The sequence below is a fragment of the Homo sapiens genome, chromosome 1 (genome assembly GCF_000001405.40).
Source record: "Homo sapiens chromosome 1, GRCh38.p14 Primary Assembly".
Lineage (NCBI taxonomy): Eukaryota > Metazoa > Chordata > Mammalia > Primates > Hominidae > Homo > Homo sapiens.
The window spans coordinates 39524126-39540028 of record NC_000001.11 but is presented as its reverse complement, the minus strand read 5'-3'; the positions used below and the strand labels follow the sequence as shown (position 1 = coordinate 39540028).

The following is a 15903-nucleotide window of genomic DNA, read 5'->3' as shown; positions in this document are numbered from 1 at the left end:
GGCTTGAGCTGGGGAGGCAGAGGTTGCAATGAGCCAAGATTGCACCATTTGGACTCCAGCCTGGGTGACAGAGTGAGACTCTGTCTCAAACGAAAAACCCCACAGTATTATTTCATAGTTGTAATATAAAGGGAAATTAAAGGAAAACAATTTGTAATAACATAATATGCATTTCAGTATTCAAATGCTTGGAAGCAACTACATGTATGAAGTACTTGAACATGTGTACTTCTGCCTAGAGCTGCACTTAGTAGTGTGGACTGATTCAGGTGTGTTGTTTTGGCAGAATCAAAGTAACATGATGTTTTGAAATAGTAAAAATCTCTTGGTAAAATTCTGAGCAAAAAGAAATGAAAAGTGACAGGATGGGTTGATTTCTGGAAAAATTTGATACAAAAAAATAATTCTTTGGATTTATATGGAACATGGAGTTAGGGTGTAGGCTCAGATCATTATAAATAGATTTTTCTTATCTACATGAATGTTATTCAGGGCTTTTGAAAGTCCAGGATTTAGAGTAACTCTCCATTACGTAGGAGACTGCAGGACATCTAGAGTCCCTCCCTGATCCCTTCCTTCCAATGCCAGTAGCACCGTATTACTGACCACCAAAAATAGACTGCAGTTTCTGGTAGCCCCTAGGGGGCAGTATGATACCACTGAGAACCCATGCCCTGGGCAATCACGCCGCCCAGTCCCAGGACTTTCAGTGAAATCACCGAGTTAAGCTTGTCCACATGGGTCACCATGCTGATGGCTCCCTGAGCTCCAGACTCCTGTCCAACCACCTACCTTTCACCTTTGCTGGATATCCCACGAGCATCTCACACTTCACATGTCCAAAATGTGGCCTTGGCCTTCTCCCCCACACCCTTCCTCCCCCTTTTCCCTGTTTCAGTAAATGACTCCACCATCCACTTAGCTGCTTGGTCAGAAACTTAGGCGTCATCATGGACTCCTGCATCACCTGCAGGCCACATCTATCTGACTTCAGGTCATCTCCTGGCCCAGCTACTCTTCACCCTTCCCCCACGACCACCAAGTCCTGTTTCCAGCCTGGCTTCTTCACCCTCATAGTCTGATCTTCACTTGGCAGTCAGAGTGATTGTTTTTAATCATAAATCTGATCACATCATCCTCCTGCTGACCCATCCTGCGCTGTGCGTGGGGACGCTGTCCTACAGGGTTAACCCACCTTGGGTCCTGGCACCTCTCTGTGCCCCTAGGATGTGCTGCCCCTCGCCCTCTGCATCCATAGGCAGTCTCGCTGTTCCTCAGACATGCTGAGCTCACTCCTGCCTCAGGGCCTTTGCACATGCCCTTTTCTCTCATGGAATGTTCTTCCTCCACTGTCCAGATGGTTCACACCCACTTCCTTCAGATGCCACCCATGTGTCCCCTTGGCTGAGAGGCCTACCCTGACCTCTCCCTAAAACAGGCTTTCCTGCCACCTCACTCTTCTTTTTAATCAGCTTCAGTTTTCTTCTTACGCTTATTACCTGAAATTGTGTTATACATTTATTATTTTACTTATTTATTTTCTGTCTCCCTTTCTCCCATGTCAGCCTCGTGAGGGCAGGACTTAGGCTTTCTTGTTCACCATTGTATTCTGGAACGGTGTCTGGCACACAGCAAGCATGCAATAAATATTTGAATATTTATTTTAAAAAGCTATTGGTTGTGCGTGGTGGCTCATGCCTATTATCCCAGCACTTTGGGAGGCCGAGGCCGGCAGATCACCTGAGGTCAGGAGTTAGAAACCAGCCTGGCCAACATGGTGAAACTCCGTCCCTACTAAAAATACAAAAAAATTAGCCAGGCGTGGTGGCGGGTGCCTGTAGTCTCAGCTACTTGGGAGGCTGAGGCAGGAGAATTACTTGAACCCAGGAGGCAGAGGTTACAGTGAGCCAAGATCACGCCACTGCACTCCAGCCTGGGCGACAGAGCAATACTCCGTCTCAAAAAAAAAGCTATTGACAGGCTGCTTTTTTATGTGCCAGGCTCCCTGATTGACTCTGGGAATCGAGTGGAATGGGGCCAGGTGCGGTGGTTCGTGCCTGTAATCCCAGCACTTTAGGCTTAGGCAGGCAGATTGCTTGAGCCCTGGAGTTTGACACCAGCCTGGGCAACATGGCAAAACCCTGTCTCTACAAAAATTACAAAATTAGCTGGGCATGGTGGTGTGTGCCTGGTCACAGCTACTCGAGAGGCTGAGGTGGGAGAATCGCTTGAGCCTGGGAGGTTGAGGCTGCAGTGAGCTATGATTGGGCCACAGCACTCCAGCCTGGATGACAGAGTGAGATCATGTCTCAAAAAACAAACAAAAAGAGTAGAATAGGACATGGTCCTCATATGAAGGGCGTACCCAGTCTAGAGGCCCAGCCATGAAGAGGGGGGTTTCTTATTGCCACAACGAGATGTAGCTCCTTATCCTACGCCCCCTAGTCCCCTGGCAAACCCAGGCTTTTTATTTGTTTGTTTTGTTGTTGTTGAGGCAGAGTCTTGCTCTGTCTCCCAAGCTGGAGTGCTGTGACATGATCTTGGCTCACTTGCAGCCTCAACCTCCTGGGCTCAAGCAATCCTCCTGCCTCAGCCTCCCAAGTAGCTGGGACTTATAGATACATGCCACCACACCTGGCTAGTTTTAAATTTTTTGTAGAGATGGGATTTTTCTCTGTTGCCCAGGCTGGTCTTGTATTCCTGGACTCAAGTGATCCTCCTGCCTTGGCCTGCCAAAGTGCTGGGATTACAGGCGTGAGCCACGGTGCCTGGCCCCAGGCCTTTTAGACTGAACTCAGACATCACCTCCTTCAGAAAGCCTTCATGATGAGTGTTTGTGTGAGTATCTGTTTCTCTTTTTCACAAACACTTAGGTGACTCTAGTGCTCCCATTCTATGCACAAATGTCTCTGTCACTGGGCTTTGCCATTTTGTAGTGTAATTATCTTTTTTTTTTAACGGCTTTAGTAGGATATTATTTACATACCATCCAGTTTGCCCACTTAAAGTACACATTTTAATGGTTTTTAATGTATTCACAGAGTTGTGCAACCATCACCACAAATAATTTTAGAACATTTTATCCCCCAAAAGGAAACTTCATACCCTTTAGCAGTTGCTACTTATCCTGTTGGTCCCCTGCCCTGGGAAACCCGAATTTACTTTCTGTCTTTATGGATTTTCCCATTCTAGGCATTTAATATAAGTGGAATCATACAATATGTAGGCTTTTGTGAGTGTCTTCTTTCACTTAGCATAATGTTTTCAAGGTTCATCCATGTTGTAGCATGTATCAGTACATCATTCCTTTTTTTTCTTTTTGTTTTGGTTTTTGGTTTTTTTTTTTTTTTTTTTTTTTGAGATGGAGTCTCACTTTGTCACCCAGGCTGGATTGCAGTGGTGCAGTCTCGGCTCACTGCAAGCTCCGCCTCCTGGGTTCACACCATTCTCCTGCCTCAGCCTCCCAGCTGGGACCACAGGCACCCGCCACCACGCCTGGCTAATTTTTTGTATTTTTAGTAGAGATGGGGTTTCACCGTGTTAGCCAGGATGGTCTCGATCTCCTGACCTCGTGATCTGCCCACCTTGGCCTCCCAAAATGTTGGGATTACAGGCGTGAGCCACCGCCTCCGGCCCCATCATTCCTTTTTATTGCCAATTAATACCCACTGTCTGCACCCCACATTTGTTTATCCATTCATAAGTTGATAGATTGTTTCTACTTTTTGGCTATTACAAATAATGCCACTGTGAACATTCACATACAAATTTTTGTGTAGACATATGTTTTCATTTCTCTTAGATGTAGCCATAGAATTGGAAATGCTGGGTTATATAACTATTTATTTATTTTTTTTTGAGACAGAATTTCACTCTAGAGTGCAGTGGCACAATCTCGGCTCACTGCAACCTCCACCTCCCTGGTTCAAGAGATTCTCCTGCCTCAGCCTCCCCTAGCTAGGATTACAGGCATGCACCTCCATACTCGGCTAATTTTTGTATTTTTAGTAGAGACGGAGCTTTGCCATGATGGCCAGCTGGTCTCGAATTCCTGGCCTCAAGTGATCTGCACAAAGTGCTGAGATTACAGGCATGAGCCACCGTGTCTGGCTGATAACTATTTTTAATGTTTTGAGAAACGACCAGACTGTTTGAAGTGGCTGTACCATTTTGCATTCTTTTTTTTTTTTTGAGATGGAGTCTCACTCTGTTGCCCAGGCTGGAGTGCAGTGGCGCAATCTCAGCCCACTGCAAGCTCCGCCTCCCGGGTTCACGCCATTCTCCTGCCTCAGCCTCCCGAGTAGCTGGGACTACAGGCGCCTACCACCACGCCTGGCTAATTTTTTTGTATTTTTAGTAGAGACATGGTTTCACCGTGTTAGCCAGGATGGTCTTGATCTCCTGACCTTGTGATCCGCCCGCCTTGGCCTCCCAACGTGCTGGGATTACAGGCATGAGCCACTGCCCCATTTTGCATTCTTAACGGCAGTGTATGATGTTTCTGATGCCTCTATACCCTCACCAACACTTGTGATTATCCTTCTTTTTTTATTAGACCTATCCTAGTGATGTGAAGTGGTATCTCATTGTGGTTTTGATTGGCATTTCCGTGCTAGTTAATGATGTTGAGCATCTTTTCATGTGTTTATTGGCCTTCTCTATATCTTCTTTGGAAAAATGTCTCTTCAGACCCTTTACCAATTTTTAATTGGATTATTTGTCTTTCTATTGTTGAGTAAGAATTCTTTTGTTTTTTGTTTTTTGAGACAGGTTCTCACTCTGTCACCCAGCCTGGAGTGCAGTGATGTGATCACAGCTCACTGCAGCCTTGACCCTCTGGGCCCAAGTGATCCACCTGTCTCAGCCTTTCAAGTAGCTGGGACTACAGGTGCATGCCACCAGGCCCAGCTAATTTTATTTTTTGTAGAGACAGGGTCTCCCTGTGTTGCCCAGGCTTGCCTCAAGTGATCCGCCTGCCTTCACTTCTCAAAGTGCTGGGATTATAGGCATGAGTCACCACACCTGACCAAATATAGTCAAGAGTCCTTCTTTTTTTATTTTTGTAGTGACGGGGTCTTGCTCTGTTGACCAGACTGGAGTGCAGTGGCACAGTCACAGCTTGCTGTGGCCTCAAATTCCTGGGCTCAAGTGATCCCTCTGTCTCAGACTCCTAAGTAGCTGGAACTACAGGCATGCACCACAATGCCTGGCTAATTTTTTCTTATTTTTTGTAGAGATGGGGCTCTCACTTCGTTCCCCAGGCTGGTCCCAAACTCCTAGCCTCAAGTGATCCACCCGCCTCAGCCTCCCAAAGTACTGGGATTACAGGCGTGAGCCACTGCGCCCGGCCTTTTCTTTCATTCTATAGGTTGTCTTTTCACTTTTTTGATGGCGTCGTTTGAAGCACAAAATATTTTAATTTTGATAAAGTCTAATTTATCTTTTTTTGTCACTTGTACTTTTGGTGTAGTGATTATGAAGATTTACTCCTACACTTTCTATTAAGTATTTTATGGTTTTCTCTCTTACACTGAAGTCTTTACTCCATTTGAAGTTAATTTTTGTGTATAGTGTGAGGAAAGTGGTCCAGCGTTACTCTTTTACATGTGGATTTTCAGTCGTCCTAGCACCATTTGTTGAAAAGGCTAGTTTTTTTCCTGTTTAATTGTCTTGGTATCCTTGGTGAATATAGTTGACCATAAATGTAAGGGTTTCTTCTGGATTCTAAATTATATTTTGTTGATCTGTATGTCTGTTATTAGGCCATTACTACTGTGTCTTAAATTCCATAGCTTTGTAGTAAATTTTTAATTCTGGAAATGCGAGTCCTCCAACTTTGTTTTTCCTTTCAAGATTGTTTTGGTTATCCTGAGTCTCTTACATTTCTTAAGAATTTTGGGATAAGCTTATCAACTCGTATGAAAAAAGCCAGCTAGGATTTTAATACAGATTGCACTGAATGTGAAGAATTTAGGAGTATCATCATCTTAACAATATTAAGTCTTCTGATCCATGAACACAGGATATCTTTTCATTTGTTTAGGTCTTCTTCAGTGTTTTTCAGTAATGTTCTTTGGTTTTCTTTTTTTTTTTTTTTTAATTGGGATGGGGTCTTGCTATGTTATCTAGGCTGGTCTCGAACTCCAGGGCTCAAGCAATCCTGCCACCTTGTCCTCCCAAAATGCTGGGATTATAGATGTAAGCCACCATGCCTAGCGAGTCAGAATTCTTTAAATATTTTAGATACAGGTCTCTTATCAGATGTATAATTTGCAAATAGTTTCTCTCATTCTTTTTTTTTTTTTTTTAGACAGGGTCTCACTGTATTGCCCAGGCTGGAGTGCAGTGGTGCAATCACAGCTCACCACAGTCTTGGAACTCCTGTACCCAAGTGGTCCTTATGTTTCAGCTTTACAACTAGTTGGAACTATAGGCACACACCACCACACCTGGCTAATTTTAAAAAATATTTTTGTAGACAGCTGTGACTGCACCATTGCACTCCAGCCTGGACAACAGAGCAAGACTCTTCTAAAAAAAATACACACACATATATATATAGCAATTATATTTCTTTTCTTATTTTTGAGACAGAGTCTTGCTATGTCGCCCAGGCTGGAGTGCAGTGGCAGCATCTCAGCTCACTGCAAGCTCCACCTCCCGGGTCCACGCCATTCTCCTGCCTCAGCCTCCTGAGTAGCTGGGACTACAGGCGCCCGCCACCACGCCGAGCTAATTTTTTGTATTTTTAGTAGAGATAGGGTTTCACCATGTTAGCCAGGATGGTCTCGATCTCCTGACCTTGTGATCTGCCCGCCTCGGCCTCCCAAAGTGTTGGGATTACGGGTGTGAGCCACCGTGCCTGGCCGTAGATATAGCAATTATATTTCTATACATCAGCAATGAACAACCTGAAAACAGAATAAAAAGAAAAACAATTATACTTACAATAGCATAAAAAAGAATAAAATATTTAGGAATAAGTTTAAAAGATGTATACAGCTTATACTTTGAAAACCACAAAACAGGCCAGGCATGGTGGTTCACACTCATAATCCCAGCACGTTGGGAGACTGAAGTGGGAAAATCACTTGAGTCCAGGAGTCTGAGACCAGCCCGAGTCAACATAATGAGACCTCATCTCTACAAAAATATATATAATCAATTGTATATTGATTTTGTATTCTGCAACATTGCTAAACTTGTTTAATAGTTCTTTTTTTTTTCTTTTTTTGAGATGGAGTCTCACTCTGTCGCCCAGGCTGGAGTGCGGTGGCACGATCTCAGCTCACTGCAACCTCCACCTCCCAGGTTCACGCCATTTTCCTGCCTCAGCCTCCTGAGTAGCTGGGACTACAGGCGCCCGCCACCACGCCTGGCTAATTTTTTGTATTTTTAGTAGAGATGGGGTTTCACCGTGTTAGCCAGGATGGTCTCAATTTCCTGACCTTGTGATCCGCGCACCTTGGCCTCCCAAAGTGCTGGGGTTACAGGCGTGAGCCACCATGCCCGGCCTGTTTATTAGTTCTAATAGTTTTTTTTGTGGATTTTTTAGGATTTTCTATATGCAAGAGTGTGTCATCTGCAAATAGAAATAGCTTTACATTTTCCTTGCCGATTGGATGCCTTTCATTTCATTTTTTTCACCTAATTACCCTGGCTAGAACCTTCAGTACAATGTTGAATAGAAGTGTCAAGGGCAGATATCCTCGTCTTGTTCCTGACCTTAGGGGGAAAGCATCTTGTCTTTCACATGTAGTTTTCTGTTGATACCTTTTATCAGATTGAGAAAGTTCCCCCTTCCACTCCTAGTTTATTGAGTTTTCATTATGAAAAGGTGTTGGATTTTGTCTACTGCTTTTTCTGTATCTGAGATGATTATGTGGTTTTTGTTCTTTATACTATTGATAATTGTCTATTACATTGATTGATTTTTAGATGTTAAACCAACTTTGCATTCCTGAGATGAATCCACATCTTTTTTGGGTGGCTGTATTTCACTAGATTGTGAGCTCCACCACTGTTAGGGCCAGTGTCCCCAGGGGGCAGGTAGGGGTGGATGTCCCTAAAGTCTGTCTTTATTCTGCTCCTTCACTCCCCTGAGTGTCCCCTCTTCTATTCTGTCTGCAAAGGCAAGGATGGGAAGCCAAGGCAGAAGGTGATCATTGGCAACTGTGGGGAGTATGTGTGAGGCGGCACTCTCTCTGCTCTCCACTCTGCTCTTGCCCCTGCACATCCAGGAAGGAGCTGCCAGCCTCAGAGGAGGCAGCACCGAGGGTGCCCTATTTGAAGCAAGCAGGATTTGTGGCATGAGGCCCACCTTAGGGTCAGCTTGGAGCACCTCTGTAGGCACAGCCTGGACTGTTCCCAAGTGCAGCTGTGGGCCCACGAACCAGCACAGGTGCTCCTTCTCCAACCACCACTTTTCTCGGCATTTGCTGCTGGGTCTGCTGTGGGCCCACCAATGTGGCTCCTGGATGTTTTGTTCTCTTTGGTTTGCTAAAATAAATTCTAGTTCTTATACTGCTGCCTGCCAGCCAGGTCCCAGGTGTTTTCAGAGGTTGCTGCTGGGACAGGCCATAGCATCTCGGCTGCTGCTCTTCTCTCTTAGGCCAAGTCCCTTAGGAGATGCCCTCGGCAGCCCATTGTGGGGCAGTAGAAGTCAAAGCCATGTAAAAGTGCCTGTGTCTTTTCTTTCTGGTCAGTTACCATTCCTGCTCTCACACCAGCTGGTCTTGTGCCTGATGGACATTTGTAATCAGTCTCACTGACCTGGCACTCATTATGCACTTCCTGAACCAACAGAACTGTATTACCGAGGAGCACACAGGGCGCTTCTTTAGTCAGCGGATGTGCTTGGTGCTGGGGAGAAACAAGCCAGGGGTGGCTCCTACTTCCTCCTCCCCAACCCCAGGCCTACCTGGAAACTGCAGTGTGGTGTCATGGTGCGCAGCCTGTGCTAGGATGGCCTCTCACCCTGCACCGATTTTGGGCCAGCCAGGCCACCTCATGGCCTCTTTCAGGTGTTGAAACTGAGCCCTATCAGTCTCCAGAAACCTCCCCCAGGGCTGCCCACTGGCTCCCATGACATGTCCTAGGAGCTCTGTCTGAATCAAGCCTTTTTTTTTTTTTTTTTTTTTTGAGATGGAGTTTTGCTTTTGTCACTCAGGCTGGAGCATGATCTCAGCTCACTACAACCTCTGCCTCCCAGGTTCAAGCAATTCTGCCTCAGCCTCCCAAGTAGCTGGGATTATAGGCACCCGCCACCATGCCCAGCTAATTTTTGTATTTTCAGTAGAGATGGGGGTTTCGCCATGTTGGCCAGGCTGGTCTTAAACTCCTGACCTCAGGTGATCCACCTGCCTTGGCCTCCCAGAATGCTGGCTGAATCAAGTCTTGATGTTGAGTATCCACCAGGGTGAGGGTGGTGGGGAAAGGAGAAGCCTATTGCCCTGGCCCCAGTGACCCCAAGCCAGCTCCACCTCTGGCACCCTGGGTGGGGCTTCTCCCCGCTTGATCAGCTTGGGCCTGCAGCTTTCCCAGCAGGCACTCTCACTCCTCAATGTCGGTGTCATTACTGGTGGTCAGTCATGGCCGTCAGGACAGGCAGCATTGAGGCCAGGATAAGGCAGCTACTCAGGGCTGCCATGAAGCCCAGGAGAGAAGAGGATGTGTGTGAATTGCTCAACACTGTGGGTTCTGGGGGTGACAGGCAGGCTGGCCCGAGGCCCCGGGAGGGAGAACTGGTCCCACAACCCTGTGAAACAAGGGAGGACCTTATTGCTGTGCTTGCCTGATTACCCTGGGAAGGAGGGACCAAGGGACCAGCCAGAGGCCAGTGGGAGAGGAACCATCAGGGTTTCCCCGGAAGTTATCCCAGTGGGTCCATCTGTGACCCTTGTACTCTGAGGTCACCTAAGCCTCAGAGGTGAGGCACCTGCCCCTGCTTGTGCCAATTGCTGCACAGAGAAGGAGAGGAGGTTCTTGGCCCAGGGATTCCAGACCCATGGCCAGCCTCGTGGCCATGCGATCTCAGCACTAGGCTGCCTGCCACCCTGGTCACAGGAGCCCCATCCCGGCCTCTGAGGAAGGGAACGCAAGACCAGACATACAAGGGAGAAGCTAAAGCAGAACTGAAGGGATGGAAGGCTGCTAAAAGTTATGTTTTCAAAGAACATTTAATCACAGAAACTTTCAAAATATTTTGTACATTGAATAGATCCGATCACCAAGCAGTGCATAGAGTAGGATCCTAACTTTGTAAAATATCCATATGTCATATATAAAGAAAGACAAATGTATATGTGCCAAGTAAGAAGACTGGAAGGAATTATGAACAGTGGTTATCTCTGTGATTGATTATGGGTGTTTGTATTCTGGTTTTTGTTATTTTCAAAATTTTCCCCAGCACACAGATAACATTTTCTTACGTGAGAAAAAATTTTTTTTAAAAAGCAGGGGGTGGAGAGCGGCAACTGTTTGCTCAAGACTTTTCAGTAAGGAAAGGAACCTGGGGTAGAAAGCTCCCCCTTCAGCTGCCCATGAGGGCACAGGTGGGCCCCACACTCACTACGGGGCCAGGGCAGGGCCGCACACCTGCCACTTCCTCAGCAGAGACCCTAGCGCGTGGGTCACTGCTGGCCCAGACTCCTTCCACGAGCAGGCGAGTGTGCAGGGCCACACCTCATCCAAGAGATGATCACGTTTAGGTTTTTGATGAAAAGCATAGCTCTCAGGTAAATACAGCAGCACCTCTAAGCATATTCTGGGAGGAGTGGGTTTTATGAGGAAGGCACACAAGGAACGCCCAAATTTGCAAGTCCCTTTAAAATGAGCCTGCTCAGAATTGCTGTTTATTCCACAGGTCTGCGCAGGCATGGCACTAAGTGTCCCATGGCACATTTGGCCCTCATGGAGGCCTCAAAAGGGCAGGACCAGCACCCTCTTCTACGGAGGAAGGAACGGGCACAGCAGGTACATGATGTGGTCAAATTAACAAGAGGCAGAGGCCGGGTAAGTGGCTCACGCCTGTAATCCTAGCACTTTGGGAGGCTGAGGCAGGAGGATTGCTTGAGCTCAGGAGTTCAAGACTGGCCTGGGCAAAGTTTAAGACCGGCCTGGGCAACATAGTGAGACCTGGTTTCTATAAAAAATTTAAAAATTAGCTGGGTATGGTGGCGTGTGCCTGTCATCCCAGCAACTCGGGCTGAAGTGGGAGGATTGCTTGAGCCCAGCAGGTTGAGGCTGCAGTGAGCCATGACACTGCCACTGCACTCCAGCCTGGGCGACAAAGCAAGACCATGTATGTCTTTAAAAAAAAAAAAAAAAAGGCAGCCAGGACCTGATGCCAGGTCGACTTGGCTCCAAAACCTGCCCTCTCCTTTTCACAGCCTCCTTTCCTGTGAAATAATAGGGAATTTCTCTAAAGCGCATCGCCCGGTCCCTATGTAAAGACAAAGAAACAGGACTTTGCACGCTCACCTGGCATTAGGGCCAGCACTGTGCTGCAGTTGTGAAGATGGCCACTGGGTTGGGGGTTGTTCTGCACCAAATGGCCCCAGACTCCCTGTCAGTGGCTACTTGTTGCAGCCAGTGGGCCTGAGCTGACCACCCTTATTTATGCTCCTGATGTGCAGCCTTGAATGCATCCTGGGCTGTGGGAGGCAACCAGGCCAGAAGATGACCTTGATAGCTGAGCACTGACCCTTCATCAGCTGTGTGTCCTTACGACCTCCTCCCTTTCTGAGGCCTTCTGTATGTGATGTCATTTGGTGGGTGGCTAAAGTTGCTAGAAGTCTGGCCACCAGGAAGGCCACGACTGTCACACTTTGTGCTTTGCTGCATAAAAAGGGAGTCTCATCATGATCCTCAGGCCTGCTGTGCACACCTGATGGGCATAGCAGCGTTTGCGTCTTGAAAACATTCATTTCACAAACTCCTAGCACACCCAAACCATGCCAGGTTACACACTGGGCACTGAAGAGACCACACATTTGTCAGTTTCCGAAACTCTACTGCCCAGTATTGGAAGAAGAGAGCTGTTAAATCAGGTCCTGCAATGGCAGATAGGCCCCAAGTCCTATGGCAGCAGGGGGCTCAGGCCATGTCTCAAGCTCTGGGAGAAGGTCATGGGGGCAGATGGGTTCTCTGGGTTGGAAGAGCCTTTGGAATTAAAGAGTCCTATGTCCTCATGTTGCAGATGAGAAACTGAAGCGTGAATAAGAAAGGGGACTTGTCCTGACACCAAGTCAGTGGCTGAGTTGGAACCAGAATACCTGTCTCCTAACACTCAGGCCATTGCCTCTTCCAATCTCTGCTAGCTGAGCTTGAAGCCTTAGACTAGTGGGGAACTCACCATCTTCCAGACAGCCTGGGCCCACCCTTTATGTACATGAGAGGGTCTCTTCCTCTGCGCTTGCACATGGAGGCCCTCCCTGGTCCAGGTGGAGGGGCTGCTGTCCCGCAGTGTGGCCCCAGCCTCCACCCCTGCTGCTGGACCAGCTCTCCCCAGGCCCCTCCCTGGGGGTGCAGCACGTGAACTCCAGAGAGGCGCATCCTTGGGCCCATGGGGAGGTGGAACCACTCTGCCAGGCTGTGCCTGTGGATGGGGCGGGCCCAGGATCTGCTTTTAATGACACGGTTTGGGCAGCTGGACTCTGTCTGTTCCAGCAGGTAAATTACAGGCTTAGCAAGTCAGAAATCAAATAAACACTCCAACTCCCAGTGGCTGTTCCAAGGAGAACAGCGGTTTCCGGGAACAGTGGAGGCCGAGACAAACCTCCCCACCCAACTCAGCCTAATTACTGCCTGTCACTCCCTGGGACAGGGACCTTTTCTTTGACTCACAGACCCAAGACACAGGACAGCGCTGGTGGGCACCCAGGGTGACGCCAATTTTGGTGGCCAGCTTGTTCATAACTCCTAGACACAAGCAAACACTGGCAGTCCCCACCCTTGCCCCATGCCTGGCCGGAGACTGCCAGTCACCCTGCTTTGGATGGAATGGATTGCTCTGCAGTGGGGCAGGAGGGGGAACTGAGGTCTTATTGACAATGCCTGGTGGTGGCTGTCTGCAGTTCTGTGCTGAGGCCTGGAGGCCCTGTCCTGGTTCAGTGGGAAAGGTACGTAGGTTGATTACTGACATGAGCCATGGGCAAGGGGAGCAGGCTGCGGGGGCATTTGCTCTGTGCCAGCCTACACTACATGTTGGAGCTGCTGGTCTTGCCTCTGTCTCAGTGCTGAGCCCCAAATGGGTCAGCATGGTAGAGATGGTGGAGGGAACTGGAAGCCCCCAGGATTCTTTGCTCCTGTGGGAGTCATACCTCTTTCCCAGGCAGGAGAAGGGGCAGGCCCAGGGCAAGGGAATACACATGACATAAAATATCCCCAGTGGCCAGGCACGGTGGCTCATGCCTGTCATCCCAACACTTTGGGAGGCCGGGCGGGTGGATCACCTGAGGTCAGGAGTTCAAGACCAGCCTGGCCGATATGGTGAAACCCCGTCTCTACTAAAAATACAAGAATGAGCTGGGCGTGGTGGTGGGCCCCTGTAATCCCAGCTACTCAGGAGGCTGAGGCACGAGAATTGCTTGAACCTGGGAGGCAGAGGTTGCAGTGAGCCAGGATTGCACCACTGCACTCCAGCCTGGGTGACAGAGTGAGACTCTATCTGGAAAAAAAAAAAAAAAATCCCCAGTGGCTTCGTGGGGATGTCCAGCTTATTCTTTTTCTAATATGCTAACTGCACCCTGGACCAAATGAGAAGAATCCCAGAACACACTGTGCTGAGAACATAAGCGTGTCCAATTTTGCCCAGAAATGGCCAGTGTTGTACCTGGGAAGAGGCAGAGCCCTTCTCCTCACACCTAAACCCTCTGGTGAATGGAGAAAAGCTCGGGTCAGCCAACCTCAGACCATCCGGGGCCAGCCACAGTCTGACAGGTCCTAAGATAGGACTTCTGTGCTGACTCCAGACAGTGCAGTCAGCACAGGCTCTGAGGCTGCTGTGTGCCTTAGGCCACCAAAGTGTCGGGCAGAGTGACAGCCACAAACCCCAGGGGAGGGGCACAGAGGTACCGAGAAAGGACCAGAAGCCTGACAGGAAGTAGGCACCGAGAGTGAGGGCCCCTGACACTCCTGCTTGAGCTGTGACAGCATTTAAGGGTTTTCTGCCTCTGCAGGGCCCGATCCAGATGAGAAGGGTGGCTGCAGTAGGGCTGGGCGGGCTGACTCAGTGGCAGCCGCAGGCCTTGACCACCATGTTGCGGTGCTTGCGCAGGATGACGTTGTTGCTGCTGTCATAGTAGAGCACAGAGGTGGCGCTCAGCTTGGTGGGTGCACAGCACGCCTTGGGGACTGCGTTTGGCTTCATCAGGTGCACCTGGCCAGGAAGGGAGCACAGGCAGGGGCATGAGGCCAGTGGCCTCCTCTGAGGACCCACCTAGCCCCGCCCCAGCTCCACCTGCTCCCTGCCCTGGCCATCTCCAAGCCACATGGGAGCAGCACAATAATAAGAATTATTAACAGGAATAAGAGCAGCCCTGAGAGCTCTGGGAGCGGGAGCTGTGGTGGCCCACAGTGCCCAGGGAGGGATACATGGCAGCCCCAGGGTGTGGGGCAGGTGGGCAGGGCACTAATGAGGGGCCTCGAGTCCCAGGCCAAGGGCTCAGACTTCCTCCTGGGGATAATGGGAAGGAGAACCTCATGGCCAGGTTTGTGCCCTTAGTGAGGTCCCCAAGGGGGAACCTGGAAGGACCACTGTCTTCTTATAGCCCTTCAGACCCCCCCAGAGGCTCTGCCTCCCCACACCCTGGCCTCCCTCCCCAGGCTCTGGGAGGCCAGGCCTCGCCCCCTCTCCTGTGCTGCTCCTTCTCCCAGAGGACTGCATCCGCCCTCAGCACTTCAAGGCCCTGCATGTGCCCGCACCTCTCCACTCCCCTGGCTCAGCTTGGACCTCTCTTCTGAACTCCAGACTTGCGGATCCTGCTCCCCTTCCCACTTCTGCACTTGGGGGTCTAATGAGGCCTCAGTGGAACATAGAATTCCTCCCGCCCTGACATCATAGCTCCCGCCTGGGAGGCCTCCTGGATGACTCCTTTCGCCTCCTCCCTTCCCTGAGAGCAGCCCCTGGCTCAACCTCCACCTCCGTGCTGCCTCGGACCACCTGCCCAGTCGAGCTGCCATCACCTGCCAGGTGACCACAGCAGCCCTCACTCATCCCCTGCTCCTCTGCCTTCCACTCCCGCGACCATCAGCCTCCCCAAGCCAGAAAGGTCCTTCTGGAGGGTGACGCAGACCAGGACACTGCTTTGCTGAAGACCTCTGACAGCCTCTGGGGTTGCTTGGAATAAAATCCACCCTCCTTCCCAGGGAACCCCAGGCCCTACGGGAGCTGGCCTGGCTCACCCCGGCATCACCTCCCTCCACTCTCCTCCCCTTCACTGCACCCAGCCCCTCTCCTCCCTGCTGGCCCTGAACTTAGGGCCAGCCTGCTCCTGTCTTAGGGCCTTGCACTTGCTCCTTCTGGAACATTCCTCCTCCAGCTGCTGACGTGCCCCTCCTTGTGTGGAGAGGCTGGGCCCAGTCTCACTCCACTGACGGCACGGCTGCTCTGCTCTTCCTCACAGGAGGTGTCAACTCCACGGTTGGTTTGCTTCTGTGCCCACCGACAGCCTCCCCTAGAGCACAGTGCCTGTTTGCTGCCCTGTAGGCTGTGAGCACTCACTCTAGTTGAGCCCCTGAGGGGCAGGGGCAAGGGCAGAGGAGATGGAGTCCAGGAGCTGCAGGTGCAGTCACCTTCCCATGTACCTCCCACACATGCAGCTGTGAGAACCACACGGCATAAAGGGTGGCTGGGCCAGGCCACCCCACGCGTCCTCATCACCCCTGGGCCTTTCCAAGGAG

At 49.8% G+C, this 15903-nt stretch overlaps 1 protein-coding gene and 1 pseudogene across 6 annotated transcripts in view; one reads left to right on the top strand and one right to left on the bottom strand.

Annotated features, from left to right (window-relative positions):
- PPIEL (peptidylprolyl isomerase E like (pseudogene)) overlaps positions 1 to 15903 on the top strand; it is a 37419-nt pseudogene that overhangs the window by 19670 nt on the left and 1846 nt on the right. For 4 of the 5 annotated variants that reach the window (NR_003929.2, NR_144355.1, NR_144354.1 and 1 more), the window contains one exon: positions 10865 to 10974. The product of NR_003929.2 is annotated as a peptidylprolyl isomerase E like (pseudogene), transcript variant 1 (transcript). Of the gene's footprint in view, positions 1 to 10864; positions 10975 to 14971; positions 15194 to 15903 lie in introns of all 5 variants that reach the window. The other variant, NR_144356.1, reaches the window with a different exon arrangement.
- The window catches only part of BMP8A (bone morphogenetic protein 8a), a 38234-nt gene continuing 32490 nt past the window's right edge, over positions 10160 to 15903 (bottom strand). Inside the window, exon 7 of the mRNA NM_181809.4 lies at positions 10160 to 14380. Within this exon, the coding sequence (NP_861525.2) occupies positions 14231 to 14380 (150 nt within the window). The 3' untranslated portion in view covers positions 10160 to 14230. The remainder of the gene's footprint in view (positions 14381 to 15903) is intronic.